Source organism: Homo sapiens, chromosome 3 (assembly GCF_000001405.40).
Source record: "Homo sapiens chromosome 3, GRCh38.p14 Primary Assembly".
Lineage (NCBI taxonomy): Eukaryota > Metazoa > Chordata > Mammalia > Primates > Hominidae > Homo > Homo sapiens.
In genome coordinates, this window is record NC_000003.12 from 87,036,269 (window position 1) to 87,053,210 (window position 16,942).

The window sequence follows — 16,942 nt, forward strand, 5'->3', positions numbered from 1 at the left end:
GGGCTTCCTGCTTCTTTTTCTGAGGCTGGGTTTAAATTCTAGGAGACTCAGGTAATTCCAAGTACTTAGGGACAGGTGTTGTGCTGAATCCCTATTGACCACAATAGGGAAGGTACCAGGTTCAAGAGGTGGAAGAAGAGATGCAGAGTCAGCAAACGAGTCATGGGTTTTTTTTTTAGGGGGTTACATACAGGGTAGACAGTCCAATGGCAGCAGGCTGAACAGGAGAACCGCCTTACGTACAGAAATGGTATCGTGGCAGCAGGCTGAACGAGATATCCGCCTTACATACCATCCAGTGGAGATGGGCTGGACAAGATAACCACAGGGCCCAGTGGCCACAGTGGTGGGCTGGGCAGGAAAATGGCAACAACCTGCAGTTTATATAGCATTTTTACTTGACACCCTCCCTTTGACGATCTCACCTGGCAACCTTCATCCAACCCAAAACTCAGGGCTTCAATCCTCTGGGTGGCCTGTGTTCCAATGGATGAGACAGGGGCTAAGTTGTTCCTCATATACAAGGAATGAATCTCCGGGTTGACCACTCCACACATTCCGGTGTGTCTGCCATACAGGGCCATCCTAAGGGTATGTTTAGCTTTTTGCTCTCAGGTTTGTTTACCCTACCCTCCACTCCAGCATACCCTTGAATGGCCCTCACATTCTTATCACGCCAGTGGTCCGTGATTTCCCTGGGGCCAGGTATGCAAAGGAGCCTAGGAGTAAATGCCAGCAACAATATAAACTACAACAACAAATACAGTGATAATCATAAAGCTCTTCCAAACGCTTGGAAGTTCATCCTGGATGTGCCATGGCAGGCCTGTGGTGGAGGAGAGGGGAAGCTCTCTGCAGGCCCAACAGTCTACTTTGTTCTAGAGAAAGGCCACCATCTGTGCCCAGTTGGTAAAGAGGTTTGCTGTACACCGTCTATGGGGGGAAGGTGAGATGTTTAGTGGGTATAAGAAAGGGCACTCAGGAGCAGTCAAGATATAGGAAGTTGTGTCATTCTGAGAGCACCACCCCTGGCATAGGACTTGTACTGGTTTATGAAACCAAATGGATTAGACCCCCTCTGCACTACAGGAGGCCAGAGTAAGACACCAGGGGCACCAAAGTGTTCCACAATAAGAGGATGATTGTTCTAGAACAAGAGAATGATCATCCCCCTGCACAAGAGAGGACCAGGACCCACCATCTTAGAAGTACGAGGGGAAGTAGGGTGCAAAACAACTGTGACCTGTATGTCCTGTTCTAGGCCTTTTCCCTATGGAGCAGAAAAAACAAACCATGGCTGGTTTGACACTTCCAGGACCATGTAATGATGGGCTCTGTGGTGGGTCGCTCCTGTGGCAAGGGCAATAGTAGGTTACTTTGAGTCCCAGGGTAGGGCAAAGGTGAGTCAGGAATTGGACCTAGTCCCTCTTATATGAAGGAAGGAATCCACAGAGGTCTAGTGGCCTCCATAAAAGACTGTCCTTCAGTTGTCACATAGGTGACAGTGTCAAGCATCCCATGGAGCTTTGCATTCAAGAGGCTACCAGTCAATGTGCTCCGTTGCAGCCCTGCATGCCTTCTGGCCACAGTCTGTGTCTGAGCATTCCCAGACCTCAGTCTCGGGGAAAGCATTCTTGAGCCAACCTGCCATGGAGTACTGGGTATGCACCAACACCAGGACGCCCTCTACAGTGTCCTCTACCTGCTGCAAAGCACAATATGCAGCTCAGAGTTCTTGCTCCATGGTACCATAATCCACCTTCAGCCCCCTTCCACAGTAGGGACCAGAATCCTGAATTCACCCATTTACGTCTTTGCCACAGGCCCCACTCAAACCTCTCAGGGACTTGGGCTATACCTAATTCACAAGGCTGTCCCTGCACTGGAACACTCAAGGCTTTTATCTATTTCACTGTGACTTGTAGCTTGTTTAAAGTCCTCATCCTCCTTTGTTGACCCATCCCATTGGCCACTTCCTGACTAAGTGCTATGGGGGCCAAAGGAGTTGGGCCAAATGGGGAATACAAGGATGCCAATACCATAAAAGACCTGAGAAAACTCGCAACTGCTTTGGTGTGGTAGGACATGGGTAGGCCTGAACCTTACCCATAATGTCAGACTGAAAGACTTTGCTGTTACCTGACCAGATGACACCCAAGTATTTGTCCCTGAGCCTGGACCTTGGACTTTGTCTGTGATGACCACCTATCCTCTGTTGGGGCAGCTGGGTGGGGCTTGCAGTTTGTAAGCTGGACTCTGAAGTTAGCATGATATCATCAATGTGATGGAAAACGTGTAACTCCCCTGGGTGGTATCCATGGGGCAAGAAAGTAAAGGTCCAGTGCAAATTGGCCTTGATTCCCTGAGGCAGAGGAGATGCTGAAGAAGGCATTGGCTAAATCCATAATAAAAGAGTAGGTGGCTGGCCCTCTCCTACTCTTATGTTCATCAGAAGGGAGGCAATACTGGGTGCAGCTCCATACATTAGGGAGGACCATCTTATTCAATTCCTGGTAATCTACTTTTACTCTCCATAGGTATCTGCACAGGCCTAGAGGGCTTTGGTATTGTCTGTCTTCTGGCCTTATAATGCCTACCCAGGCTAATTCCTTAATACTGCCATCATTCCTCTGTCTTCTCCATCTATACCCCCCCTCCCAGGTTGAGAGGATTAGTAGGAAAGGTGGTTATTTTCCTTTCATGTATTTTTAATCTGTATTTCAACTCTTCTTCATTCCCTCATGGCCTTAAGTATCTATAAAGCAAAGCCACAATAAAATTCCAGCTTTTTTTTTTTTGATTATTGTTTCATTGTTGTTGTGGCTATTGTGGTCATTGTGTTTCTGTTTTGTTGCTTCCCTTTGGAAGGAGTGAACGTAGCAGTCTATCCGCAGGAGCGGGGAGAAAGAGAAAGAATAAATCCAGGTGGGAAAGACAAATGGAAATATATCTTTACCGTATTATCCTCTTCCACACCACAATTGACATAGAAGCCAAAGACAGAGTCCAAAACAACTAATTTCTGCTGTGGCTGTTGTTAAGACAATTTGCAAAGCAGAAGAAGTTAGTTTTTAGACATCATATCTTTCCAATGTTTTCATCAACTTTTTCTCTCTTCTCATTTTAGTTCACTCATTTCCTCCTTAATCCATCAAAATATGTTATCAAGAAAGCTTCATTTAGCAGTTATTTTCTATTAATATATAACTCTAATAGTAGTATGTTTAAAACCGTTGATTTTTGCATGTTAATCTCATCTACATTACAGAACTTATAGTCATATGCTAAAATGGGAGGGGGTAGGGAGGTATTTTAAGGCAAACATACATTCTGATTATCAAAAAAAAAATAGATCGGTTTCTTTTGTCTATGATGCTTTCAGGGGCCAGACCAAGAAGCTAGCTAAGAAAATAGACATACATGAGACTATACAAAATTTTGTTGTCTGCTTGTAGGCAATCAGAAAATATAATTGCTAGTAATTCTTTCTTTGACTAATTTGTTATCCAGTTGTGCCAGGGGTCGCTTTGGGTTCAGTTACTCATCATAATTTGCAAGAATAATTCTGTGGGTCTTCTTCAACTGCCAAGCATCAGCTGCCAGGTTTGATTTACATAGTTACAGAAGATAATATCATTTTAAAAATTACTACCATATGAATGTTTATGCATAAATCTTCTTTTTTTACTATCTTCGTAAAATGATACATCTTGAATATATCAAAACATTATTTTTTTAAGTACATGGGGAAATAGTAAACTGAAAATTATCAACTTTCTGACAAAATTATGTGCCTAAAGATGCAATTGTAGGCATTGTCCAGTCTTAGGACAAAATTTTACTTTCATAGGAAAAGAAACTAAATATTATGAATATTCAGCAATGTATATATTAATATTTCTAGTCCTTTATTAAAGTTGCTAAACATTAAATGCTTTTTAAAATGAATAAAGACTATATATAATTTACACCAAATAAATACTTCGGTATTTAAACATTTTAAATTGTCATTCCCAAATTTAGAGGCCGAGGGCAACTTTTTGTTTTTTGCATAATAAGGCCAAGAACAAAACCTTGAAATGGACCCAAACCATTTGAGGGTTTAAATATCTTGTTTTTTCAGCTGTGCATTCTAGAAGAGCCTACAGATATCTAACGGTGTACACTTTAAAGATTTCACTGAAAGGAAAAATATTGTATTTTATGATAGAAAACTACTTTTGGTAAATATGGATGTAAATGAAAACAGAAGATGCACTTTGCACTTCAGAGTTTAACTGAAAGGGAAGTTTTATTTACAAAATTCTTTTTTTAAGTCATCTAATTTTGACTTGAGTGTCTTCCACTTCCATTTGCCTTTTTGTCTGTGCTTCATGATTCCTTTCTCTTAGTCCATAGTTCAGGTACTGTGACTATTGAAAAGTTTTTGAATGTTAAATTGAGTCCAGTGTTCGTGGACTTAAATGTTCTCTTCCCCTGATTCACCACTTGTTCAGCCAAAGCTGTTCCACTCAAAAGACAGAAACATACATTGGTTCTCATATAGCTTCCACACTTAGTAAAAATATTAACGTGCTCTATTTCCCACCTTCAACAGAGGAATTCAAATCACTTACCAAACAAATGTATGAGTAGGTACTATTTCATTCAGAAGGCTAGTTACCTGGAGTAAAAGCAGGTTGCCTTATCCTGGTAGTTTTCCCTATTGCTTGACACTGGTCAACCAGCAGGAAGATTATATTTGCCACAGGGTGATACAAAGTTGTCAAATGATACAGTTTAACTGCCAGGGCCCTACTCAGTTTAATTTCCAAAACTGATTAGGCATTACCTGGAAGACATTAGGAGCACACACAGATAAGTAAATACTGGATTTATGTTGCTTTAAATTGGGATTCATATTTTCAAAACAAGTGTTATAGTTTTCTGGATGTGTACTTGGTTTAATAAGGTTGCTAATGTTGGCTTTTAACACTGGCTATTACAATTTTTTGTTACAGGAGAAAATTCAAAGAAGACAATATTTCATTGACATTTTAAATTATATTTGTACTACATATATATTTCTATACGCGTACACAAAGAGAGAATGGCATTTGGTTATTGTGTGATGCAATATTTTGTCTACTAGATGGGTCTCACTTTCATATTTATCAAAACAAGGCACATATTTTTCTCTGTTCATTCTGATTGACCTCACAGAGTTACCTGTTGGAGTTAGAAAGAACACCTAACCAATGCTCTTCAAAAGTGCTAAAAAGTTGCAAAACAACAACAACAACAACAACAAAAGACCGACTGTTACAACTGTTTGTAACTGGAAGAGACTAAAACAAATATCAAAATGCAATGCTGGAGCCAGAATCCAAATCTGGAACAAAAGAAAAAATTAATTGGACAACTGGTGAAATCTGAATAATGTGTGGAATTTAGTTAACAGTAAGTACAAATACTAATTTCCTGATTTTGATCATTGTACCGTGGTTATGGTACAATTACCTTCCTTCTTTCCTTTCTCTCTTCCTTTTTCTCCCTCCCTCCTTGTCTTCTCTCTTCCTCTCCCACACCTTTGCCCCACCTTCCTCTTCCTCCTCCTTCCCTATCCCTAGCACTTTCTCTCACAGCATCTCTTTCTTGTTTCTATCCCTGTTTCTCTCTCTTCTTTTTTTTTATTGTGTCAGTATTCGTCCTTCTGAATTTCAGAGAGTTTAATAATTTTTTATACTTTATTACTGATTCAGATTGCTTGTATTCTGCCCTTTACTGCATTAGAGGCAGATTTTAATTTGGCTATTGCATTACTTTTCAATGTTGCTTTAACACATCATAATTGTTTGTTACTTAATAAGACCGTACTACTTTCTAAGGTTGCCAGAGTTATGTTTCTTATCTTACTTTAAAGTCCTTCATTATCTTCTGAGTTTTTGCAACTCCCTGTACACAACATAACTGGGAGTAGAAATAGACACTTCAAATGAGATATCATTAAGCTGCAAGGCTATCAGAAGTTAACAAAAGGTGGACCAAAGTGTTAAAAATACGTCTGATGAGAATGATAAAGTATGAAAGGATTTAAGAATGAACGAGGGAAATCTGTTTCATATCTTTAGCATGGTGGAAGATACACAAATGTACACAAGTGATAAAATCTGTAGAGAACTTATAAACAACCAGGCACGGTGGCTCACATATGTAATCTCAGGCCTTTGGGAGGCCGAGGCGGGCAGATCACGTGAGGTCAGGAGTCCAAGACCTGTCTGACTAACATGGTGAAACCCCATCTCTACTAAAAATACAAAAATTAGCCGGCTGTGGTGGCACATGTCTGTAATCCAAGCTACTTGGGAGGCTGAGGTAGGAGAATTGCTAGATCCCGGGAGGTGGAGGTTGCAGGTTGCAGTGAGCCGAGATTGTGCCATTGCACTCCAGCCTGGGTGACAAGAGTGAAACTCCGTCTCAAAAAAAAAAAAAAAAAAAAAAGCTTATACGCATGCGCACACACAAACATGCACATATATACAGATGAGTACAAGTAAAACAGGAAATCTGAGTAAGATTGATAAGATCACTGTCAATATCTTGGTTATCCTACTATAGTTTTGCAAAATGTTATTTATGGAAACTAGGCAAAATGTAGATGTAATGTCTGATTATTTCTTACAACTGCTTGTGAATCTATAATTATCCCAATTAAGAAAAAAATGTGAAGGCAAAATAAAGATAATCACCAATTTAAAAAGAAAGAGAAAGAGAGACAGAGAAGAACCTAAACTACTAGCCATTCTCTTAAGGAGAAAAGAAAGAAATTTATATTGTGTGGTTCTTGAGTAATCAGTAAACTTCTATAAAGGGCCAGACAGTAAATATTTCAGGCCTGTGGGCCTTTCTGTCTCTTGAAACTACTCATCTCTGCCATTGTAGCATGAAAGCAGCCATCACCAATACATAAATAATAACCATGGCTGTGCCCCAATAAAACTTTATTTATAGAAACTAAAAAATGAGTTTCATATGATTGTCATGTATTATGACGTACTCTACTTTTGTTAATTTTTAAAAACCATTTAAAAATGTAAAATCTATTCTTAGTTTGCAAGTCATACAAAAATGGGACGCAAAGTAGCATTTGGCACTAAGGCCGACTGTGGCTGAAAACAATGACATTCACAGCAATGTAAGTGAAGTAAAATAGGCTTTCTGTTAAGATGGTAAGGAGGATTTTTGCAGTGGATGAGAAACTGAAAATGGTGGCCCAAGATGACTTCCAATTTAAAGGTCTTGTTGCTCTTTTTGTGAAATGTAGGGAATTAAAATATAATATTTTCGTTATTTAAAATGTTATTTTTTCATTTGCCTCACAATATTGACTATTTTTTCAATATTAAAAAAAATCTGTATTTTTACATTTTTTTAAACTTGAAAGCTACCTTCCAAACCTGAATTCTTCTTTACATTCTGATTTATATCTGACTTTGGATAACATCTTCAGTAAGTTTACTTAAATTTTGCAGTGGAAGCCACAATTTAGCAAAGATCCTGGCATTCATTCAGTGGTCAATGAGGTCTAACCTGCCTTATTTTGTTGTTGTTGTTCTGTTTTGTTTTGTTTTAGGCTTTTAGCAGCCTGAAGCCATTGTTTTTAGTTTCTATCTCTAGTGATAAGTGGAAAAGAGGGATGAGAAAGGGGCTTTACTGGCCCAATCAGAAACAGAACTCATGACCGTATTGTCTCCCTTGGACACCCTGGTCTAATTATTTTTGTCACCATTGCTATTGTTGCTGTTTGCCAATTTTGTGCAAATATAAGAAGTCTGGACATGCCACAGAAAATACGAGAAACTCAGAAGACTCCCATGCAAATTACTTCCACTGAAATATCAATATATAGTGGCAGGAAAACTTGATTTCAGACAGAGGAAAGGTTTTTTGCTACTCATTGCCACGTACCTGAAATTCAGTCTTGATAATTGCAACTTTTTATCTTAAGGCTTTGGCGCTGTTCAAGGGCAGCATCTTTGGGACAGCTGCCATACTAAACTGTATGAGTGGGGTCTGATTTGGGTTTTGTAGATCCTGCCATTCTCCTTACAGTAAACAACACTGCACAATTATGGATGAAAATTAGGTATAAGACTTCAAAAGGAGGCATGCAAGAGATGGGATCTGAAGCTAGGCTGTAAGGAGCTTGACAGTAAATTTACCTCAATGTCAAAAAAGAGGATGAATTTCTCTTGTTTCACAAAGATCATTCATGAAACAAAAGATAGATGACCTCAAGGCTTAGAAAACCCGAATTTCTATGAGTAATAACATTTCCATAACATGTTAAGCAGTCAAACACTGGGAATTGATGGGAGGGACTGTGTTACCAGTGACAGACTCTACATATCTCACAGTTTAATCTTCACCCCTTTCCTTTGATGGCCTCATCATTATTGATCCCATGCAGAAGATGATATTATCCAGTCACCTGTAAACATAGAATCCTGAGGCCCTAAATTAAGTAGGCAAATAACTTGCTGAAATATGTTATGAAAATAAATAGATATGGACTTTTAACCAATAAAGACTATTGTAAGATATGACAGAGGGATTTCATTTATGAGAACATCTTTTTGAAAGGCACCATTTTCTTCTGAAAAGGATCAAAACTTTAGCACCTAAGAAAGTGGGGATTGTTGAGCCAGTACCCTTGTGTTCTCTGAGGCAGTTCTGGTTTTCTTCTTCTTGTCATTAAGCGCACACACTGAAGCATGTAATTATGGCAGCATGCTGAGAATTGAACTGGCACTCCATGAGCATATGTCTTTTCCTAAATGCCCTCTGAGCAATAGCTGATCAATGAGCATATCTTTGCAGTTCGTGCCAATGTGTTTAACTTAGGGCAATCAGATGTAACTGAATCTTTTGCATCTTAGCTGAATATTAGAATTTTATCCATGTAGTTAGAAAGAATCATCTACATTTTGCTTAAGAGAATTTCATCAGATTCAGGGCTATCGTAGGAAATATGGGGTGCAACTTGGCCCAGGTTCCATGCAGCTGAATGTGTAGATATCTATATCATCAAAAGCAAACCTGTTATTTATTAGTGGTTTTTAAATTGAATATAGCTACATTTGTGAAATATTTCAAGTTGTGTTTCAAAATTAAAAAAAGACAAAATGTATGATTAATCCCTAAAATTACAGCAAATTAAAGATGCTAAAGAATACACCAGCTTCATTATGCTGCATTATTAGAAGCTTTCTTCAGCCAGGGAAAAGGGATAGAATTACAGCTACTCATCTAAAAATTGTGTGTAGCCCGCAATATTAGTGAAGTATTTAAATAGCTATTTTTATCATTGATGTAATCATTAACCACTTCTAGAATGAATCATCTAAAACATATTTGATATGTCTAATGTTACATAGCATAGAGCAAATAGGAACTCATCCATTGTATCTATTACCATGTAGAAAGCATGGGAATTACTGGCTTAAGGAACCTGAGGGCTATGCATCCCTGATACCTGCAAATCCATAAATGCACCAGGAAATGCCTACAGATAAAATAAACTATTTGTCACACATAAATCTCATGTATTTTATAATATTTGAGTGTGTAAATGCTATTTTGATTTAAGATACCTTTTTAAAGAGTTTCTGAATTCAGGATAGATTTTTGGCCTTACGTGTTTTCACAATTAATGGACATTAAACATACAATTACTATCATATTAGAGTTTATGGAACATGAGTTTATCTTTTCTAAAAAAGGTAGTTGAAAAGTTTAACAACTACTGCAAATCTCCAAAGGTAGGGTTAGTAATGTGGCAATATTATTTCTGTCCCCAGAACTCTTATTTCACATGTGCTCCCAGGATTCTGGGCTACAGAACAGGACTTTGTAAAGCACAGGCTCATGGTAGAAGTGCAGTGGTAGGACTTATATTTTGCCCCAGATTGTGTACTCTCCTCTTCTATAAATGTTGAATCGTAGAGTTACTTTTCTCCAACATGACTTATGATCCAAATCTTTACCTACAAAAAGCAATGAGTCCTTAAAGTGCCTACGTATGTTTCTTCTAAATCTGTGTAAAGTTGCTTCTTTTAAACTGAATAATCCCTCAGTGGCAACTAGCTCATTTTAATGTTCTTTGATTAAAAACAATTGTGATTTATAGAGCGGAGGTAATGGCTTCATTTAAGATCCTACTGTTATTAACAACACAGCATGAGAGCTCTCAAGACAACAGCATTTTAGCAGAGAATGTTATGGAGCAAATGTAACACATTTCAATAGCTACAGCCCATCATCTTTTTACGTGCCTGAAGAAAGAATGCTGCATTAATATGCAGGCTGAACATATACATATCTGGATAGATTTTATGAAACCAATTTAATGCATTTTGTTAATTTAAACTTACAAAAATCACAGCGTACACATTTTTGCTAGATAACTATTTGGATGTGTCTTACATAACATTAGCATATTGCAAATGAGAAATTCATCCATTCTGTGTTTCACTAAAAAAAATTTCCTATGCTTCGCATATATAGTTGCCACAGTTAAAAAATGCATTTTTTACTTAAACATTTATTTGTTTCATCCTAAACCCTTAACATTTAAAAAAAAAAGACTATCTTTCTTTACCTCCTACTATTAAAATTCATTGACATTTGCCAGAAAGATGAATGGCATGGTGATGTGGGGGTGGCAAGTAAGTGTCCTTTAATATTAGATATGCTTCAAGTAATTTAAACTATTATATTCAAGAAGGTAAAATCAAATATCCTATCTTGCTGCCTATCTATACAGACATTCAATTAGGAAATATTTGAGATCAAGAGTATAATGCTGTATTGAAACACCATAGTTTTTGAAAATCTATATTTTTAAGCTTACATAGATGAGCCATCATAATTATTATGAGAAATATTCTCACCAAACAGATATTCAGAGCTTACTTCTAAGACTTAAATGAATATTTGAATATAAAAGCTGAATGGATTGGCTGGAGCGATTTAGTAGGACCTTCTCATTTTATTGATGAAGAAAACTCATACCAGTGAAGTGATTTATCCAAGGGCACACCAAAGTTGTGGAAGATCTGGGCTGATTTTATATTCTTTAGATTATCTCATGTTGCTTCTGCTGCTCTATTACCATCCCTTCCCTTTAGTGCAGATGTAAATAAAGATCTAGAAGCATCAGCACAATGACTATAGCTGGCCTAACCTCATTATAACTTTGTCTTTTTCCATATACTCTGTAAGTAAGAAAATTACCCACTCTCCATGTTTTTGGTCAGAAACACAATTTTGGTCGTATCTCTCTCTCTCTCTCTCTCTTTTCTAAGGCCATTTTGTTCAGTTTATGCTGAAATGGTAAAGCCTGAATTGGCAGTGGTCAAGTGAGGACCCTGCATAGGCTTCTTGGCCCTTCTGAATTAACTGAAAGGACTGGATAAAACATCTCCAGGGAGGCTCCAAATAGAATAGTATACAAGGCCGTTGAAAAAGTTTAGGATATGAAAGAATGACACTTTAGGGCTGCTTATCTTTGCCCCAGGATCCCAGAGTTTGCCAGAGGAAATATGGTAGGGAAGAGAGAGAAGGAGTTCAGACGACTTTCCTGAGCCCAGAAAGGAGTGTGTTAGTCTCATTCTAAAGGCAAATATGTAAATCAACCTTCTCAAGTCCAGTGTTGTTTGAACTGATATTTACTGAAAGTGATCCAAGAGATTCAGAAATATTACAACCACAAGGTTGCTAAGCATCCCTCTAAAGTACACAGAAGGAAACTAAAGACTTCTAACTCACACCAAGACTATTCAAATAGAAAGAACTCAAATCATTCCGAAAGCAATGTGACCTGAATGTTTCCAGGCCCTAACAGGAATGAGTTTGCCATTGTCAGTTTAAAAACAAAAAATGTTATTAATAGCCTTTCCAAATTCAAAAACAATTCCACTAAATTTCCCTACAATTCTATTCATCAATAAGTTTTTATTTTGTACTTGTAGGATTACTATACATATACAATTAGACAATTGAAAGTCAAGGGTCTTCTGAATTCAGGATAGATTTTTGGCCTTACGTGTTTTCACAATTAATGGACATTAAGTAAGGGCTTAATAAATAGTAAGGGCTTAATAAGAGTAATTAATGGACATTCAGTAAGGGCTTAATAAATAGTAAGATACTATGATTTTAAGTAATGTTCGATTTTGTTTCTTATACCAAAATATATTGCTCTAAAATTGTATTTTCTGTGTTATAGTTAGTGCCACACAGCAAAGCAAGCATTTCATTAGCAAGATGTAAATGAAGCAAACTTATTTGGTTAAATATAGAAAAACACAGCTTTTCGTTTATTTAAAAAATATTTTATTCAGTTACTGGCCATCCAGTTTGTGTGTCTATATGTCTGTATGTTTAAAAAGAAGACACAGTTTAAGCTATTTATCTTCAATTACAAAAGGGGAAAACTCAAATGTAGGGGTTAATACGTTTGATTTTAAACTCAATACTAACTATGACCCCTGGATATGCTGAGCCTTGACTAATTATTATGCAAGACTTCAAAATGTCTAAAGAGAGAGCGAGAAGAGAAGACAGAGATACCATCAAAACAATGCTACGAGCTCACCAATGCTTGTATTATTCCAATTAACCTGTGTCATAAAATGATCAACTAACACAATTTTGCCAAATCTAACTTCCCTTCTTAGTGATTCACTTTACAAACAGCCTCCCATCACTTTCCAAATAGTTGATTTCTCCATTTAGAAACTCTCTCTTACTTTGGCTTCAGTAACACTAAATCTTCACAGCATTCCTTCTCTCTTTCTTTGGCCACTATTTCACAATTTTTCTGCTTCTCCTCTATCCAAAATTTAAATGTAGTTTTATAGGCCTTGTTTTTATAACCTCTTTTGTTCTTTTTTTTAAACATACTTATTACACATATTTATCAACAAGACATCACAAATAAGTCACAAAAAGTAGGCTTACTTCAGTTCACAATATAAATCCCTTGAAAACACATTTTTCATCTCTGCAGTTTATAATACTCTACGTATATAAATTTAAAGCAGTTAAACAACATTTGAGATTAAATTGGTAAAAAAAAATTGAATTCAGACTTCAGAAAATTGTGAAGTAAAAGGCCATGATGGAGAAATATTAAGAAATCTGTAGAATTACTGAACTGTCACAGTATTATTTTCCTTTACAAAAGCATCTCAGTAAAACAAAAACTACAGAAAACGCAAAGTAAAATCAGAGATTTTGGTTTAGTACTTTCCCTGAGTTTCTTGTTTTAAAAATCAAAGTAAGTCCAGTTCAAAATTGACCCACAGGTCTTACCTCCTCCATGCTGCCATGGGGAATACATTTAAGACAAGAGGCTACACATGTTGAAGTGGTCCCAGGGCTTTATTCAAATGCCAATTTGCCCGTGTCACTGCCACAGGGTTGTCTGACCCACTGCTGCATGTGGGCTTAAAGAGCTTTCAAAATTTTATCTTGGTCTGCTATAATATAATATGTGAGACTATATACCAAAGGAAGACAAGCAGTTTCAGTTATTAATATTAAATTTCTAAATGGATCTGGACACTATATACATCAAATTATGGTAACATAACAGAAACAAACACTTTTATGTTTAAAAATTCTTACATAAAGGTTTGGGGTCATCTTAAACTTCTAAATCTCAGATGTTACAAGAAAAAACTTCAAAAAAGAAATCAAATTCATTAGATCTTAATAAAGTAGAAAAAAGCGATTATAAGATGATACTTGGACTTGGATTATAAGTTGATACTAACTCCCCAAAGTGGTTGACTCTTTGATCCTTAAACAAAACTGGCCCCTATTGTGTCTGTACTTGATCACTTAATTGCAATAATATTTATGTGTATGTGTACATGTATATGTACATCTACATGTATATATGCTTGCAAGTGATCAAGCCCTTCATTAAAAAACTATATGATAATTAATTAAATTAAGGATAAAGGGATTGTTTTATTCTAAAAATTTGGTTTTTATTTCAAACGTACCAGGTTACTTGCTGAGCTTATAGTATCAGGGCGCTAAATACTGTGGATCACATTTTCTAATCAAATGTAGGAAAAACTTTTTCACAGATTTTTACAACCCTTTTTAGGACATCTCAAAGAGAGATGGCAAAGATCTGCCAATTATATCTCCTTCCATCATAATGAAATCTTAATTGTAAACTAATTTCAAAAAGTTAATAATCATTAGCTTTCCGAAAGCTAACAATCATGAGCTGTCTTAAAATCAGAAGTGAAATGATGACTCAAATCACAAAAGTATGACACTTATTCACATTCTTATTAATTATTTAGTCTAATAAGTATCCCATTGCACATGTGGGGAAACTGAGGCACCACAGATTATATTTTGTGTTTTTTGTTTTTAAAGATTTGTCTACAGTTAGACAGGGAAGCCAAGGTCATAACTACAGCCAGAACTTTACAAGCTAGACACCTATGAGGTATAATGTATTCTATTCAAACTTTGTGTGAAATGTTACATTTAACTCACCTGTCTTGTTGGCATCACCTCTCCTTAACCCTAACTTCTTGCAAACCCTTTAAAGCATGGACATGGCAAATGTCAGTGACCACCTGCCTTCTCTGACCAGGTTAAAAAGGCTAGCCAATGCTTGTGTAAAAAAAAGAACACCACATATTGTTGTATTATATGCAATTAGAAATGTTTGGTTGGTTATCCCACTTTGGTATCCTTTTCAGAAAAAAAAAATCTCAAAACTTATAAAGGTAAACATAAGCATGGCATTTTACATTGTACCAACTGAGTAACAGTAAATAGATGAGGTGTGACCACTATAACTTCTTGACCACCTTTCTATCTTGAAACTACACACATCCAACCCTACCAGCTACCATTCTAATTCTACAGGATATTTTCCAGTGAGACAAGCTGTACAATGACCACTCTTTTCAAAACATTCCAGACCATTTCCATTTTCTTGGATCATAATATCGTGCTTTTTCTCTTTCTGTTTTTTAAACTGTATCCCTTCTTGCACAGATGAAACCAGTCCTTCTACTGACAGATACACAACACTGTTTGCTCCTAGATATTCTGCAAGGTGATCAAATTCTGGTTTATTGGCAATGAGCTCTTCTTTTGTAGGAATGTTTATTCCCATGAAGCATGGATATTTAATTGGTGGTGAAGCTACTGGAATGTGTTCCTCTTTTGCACCAGATTCTTTGAGCAATTTTATGATAGTTGAGATGGTATTGCCTCTCACAATTGAGTCATCTACAAGAACAATTCTTTTGCCTTTAAAGTTGTCTGACAATACTCCAAATTTTTTTGCAACACCAAGTTGTCTTAACCTCATGTTTGGCTGAATGAAGGTTCTCCCTACATATCAGGTTTTACACAGCACCTCCACATATGGAAGTCCACACTTCCCTGCATGAGCAAGAGCAGCAGGCGTAGCAGATTCTGGAACAGAGCTAACCAAATCTGCATCCATAGGTGCTTCAATAGCTAGCTGCTGGCCACGACGGTATTTTATTGTATAAACCATTTGGTCTTCAAACATACTGTCTGGTCTTGCAAAATAAACATATTCAAAGATACAAAAAGCCATAGGGTTTCCTTCAGACCTTGATATAATATCAAGAGTTCGGACATTACGTCTGGATATTTCCACAATTTCTCCAGGCAAGACTTCACGGTAATATCTTGCACCAATAGATAAGAAGCTACAAGATTCTGAAGACACCACCCGTCCTTCTGTTTCCGATGTTTTTTTCTCTTTGTCATTTATATCAGACGCTGGAATAAGACGATCAATGCATAAGGGACGATTTCCATAATGATCTCATACTGCGTAAATAACGTCTCTGGGCATTTTAAGCAGGGAGTATGCTGTGGGTGTTTCCTTCATCAAGTTTTTAATCCTGGCTACCCAGTCTGGGGTGTCATCTTGTTCCTGAGGAGGGGTATACGCCAGTAACTGGGTAATCACTTCACTATCAGAACTTGTGGACAGATCAATACCATGACGCAGAAGCTTTTTCCTTAATCGAGCAGCATTTGCCAATTGGCCATTATGTGCCACAGCTATCTTCCCATAAAGTGTTTCAGCAACAAAGGGCTGACAATTTTCTAGTTCACATTTTCCTGTGGTGGCATACCTTGTGTGTCCAATTCCAAGATTTGAAACATGTCATTTTTTCAAATTGTCTTCAGTAAAGACGTGATTTACAAGACCCATTCCCTTGTGTGATTTGAATGTTGGCGCTGAACTCCCGTCACTAGTCAGAGTACCAGCACTCTCCTGACCCCGGCGCTGCGGCGTCCCAGAGTGATCACATGCGGCACATCCAGCTGCGTGGGCCACTCTCCTGAGGCGATGCACCGGAACACGCCACATTCCTCTCGGATCCCCGACTCCTCCAGCTCCAGGTCGCCGCCGAAAGCACGTGGAGGGACCTGCCGCTGCGGCCAAGGTGTAAGCACCAACCAGCTGCCAGCTCGGCCCATCGAGCTCAGAAGCTCGCGCTCGCGACAGGCGCTTCCTTCCCGAGGCTGGCTCCCCTCTTTTGTTCTTAATGTAAATTTTCACCCTAGGTTAACTTGCAGCCTTTAGTGTCATTTAACAGAAAGGTAGTCCCCATTATCCCATCCCACAAGTATTTTTCTTTATATTCTTGCTAGTGGTGGGAAGGGAGTCTAGTATAATTGAGTAGAAGGGAAAATATACTTTTTATTTATTTATTTATTTATTTATTTATTTATTTATTTATTTATTTATTTTGAGATGGAGTCTCCCCGTGTCGCCCAGGCTGGAGTGCAGTGGCACCATGCCGGCTCACTGCAAGCTCCGCCTCCCGGGTTAGCATCATTCTTCTGCCTCAGCCTCCCGAGTAGCTGGAAC

The 16,942-nt window shown here is 37.6% G+C and overlaps 2 pseudogenes; one reads left to right on the forward strand and one right to left on the reverse strand.

Annotated features, from left to right (window-relative positions):
* On the forward strand, window positions 12,935-16,601 carry LOC285232 (phosphoribosyl pyrophosphate amidotransferase pseudogene; annotated as a pseudogene).
* Window positions 14,727-16,601, reverse strand: PPATP1 (phosphoribosyl pyrophosphate amidotransferase pseudogene 1; annotated as a pseudogene).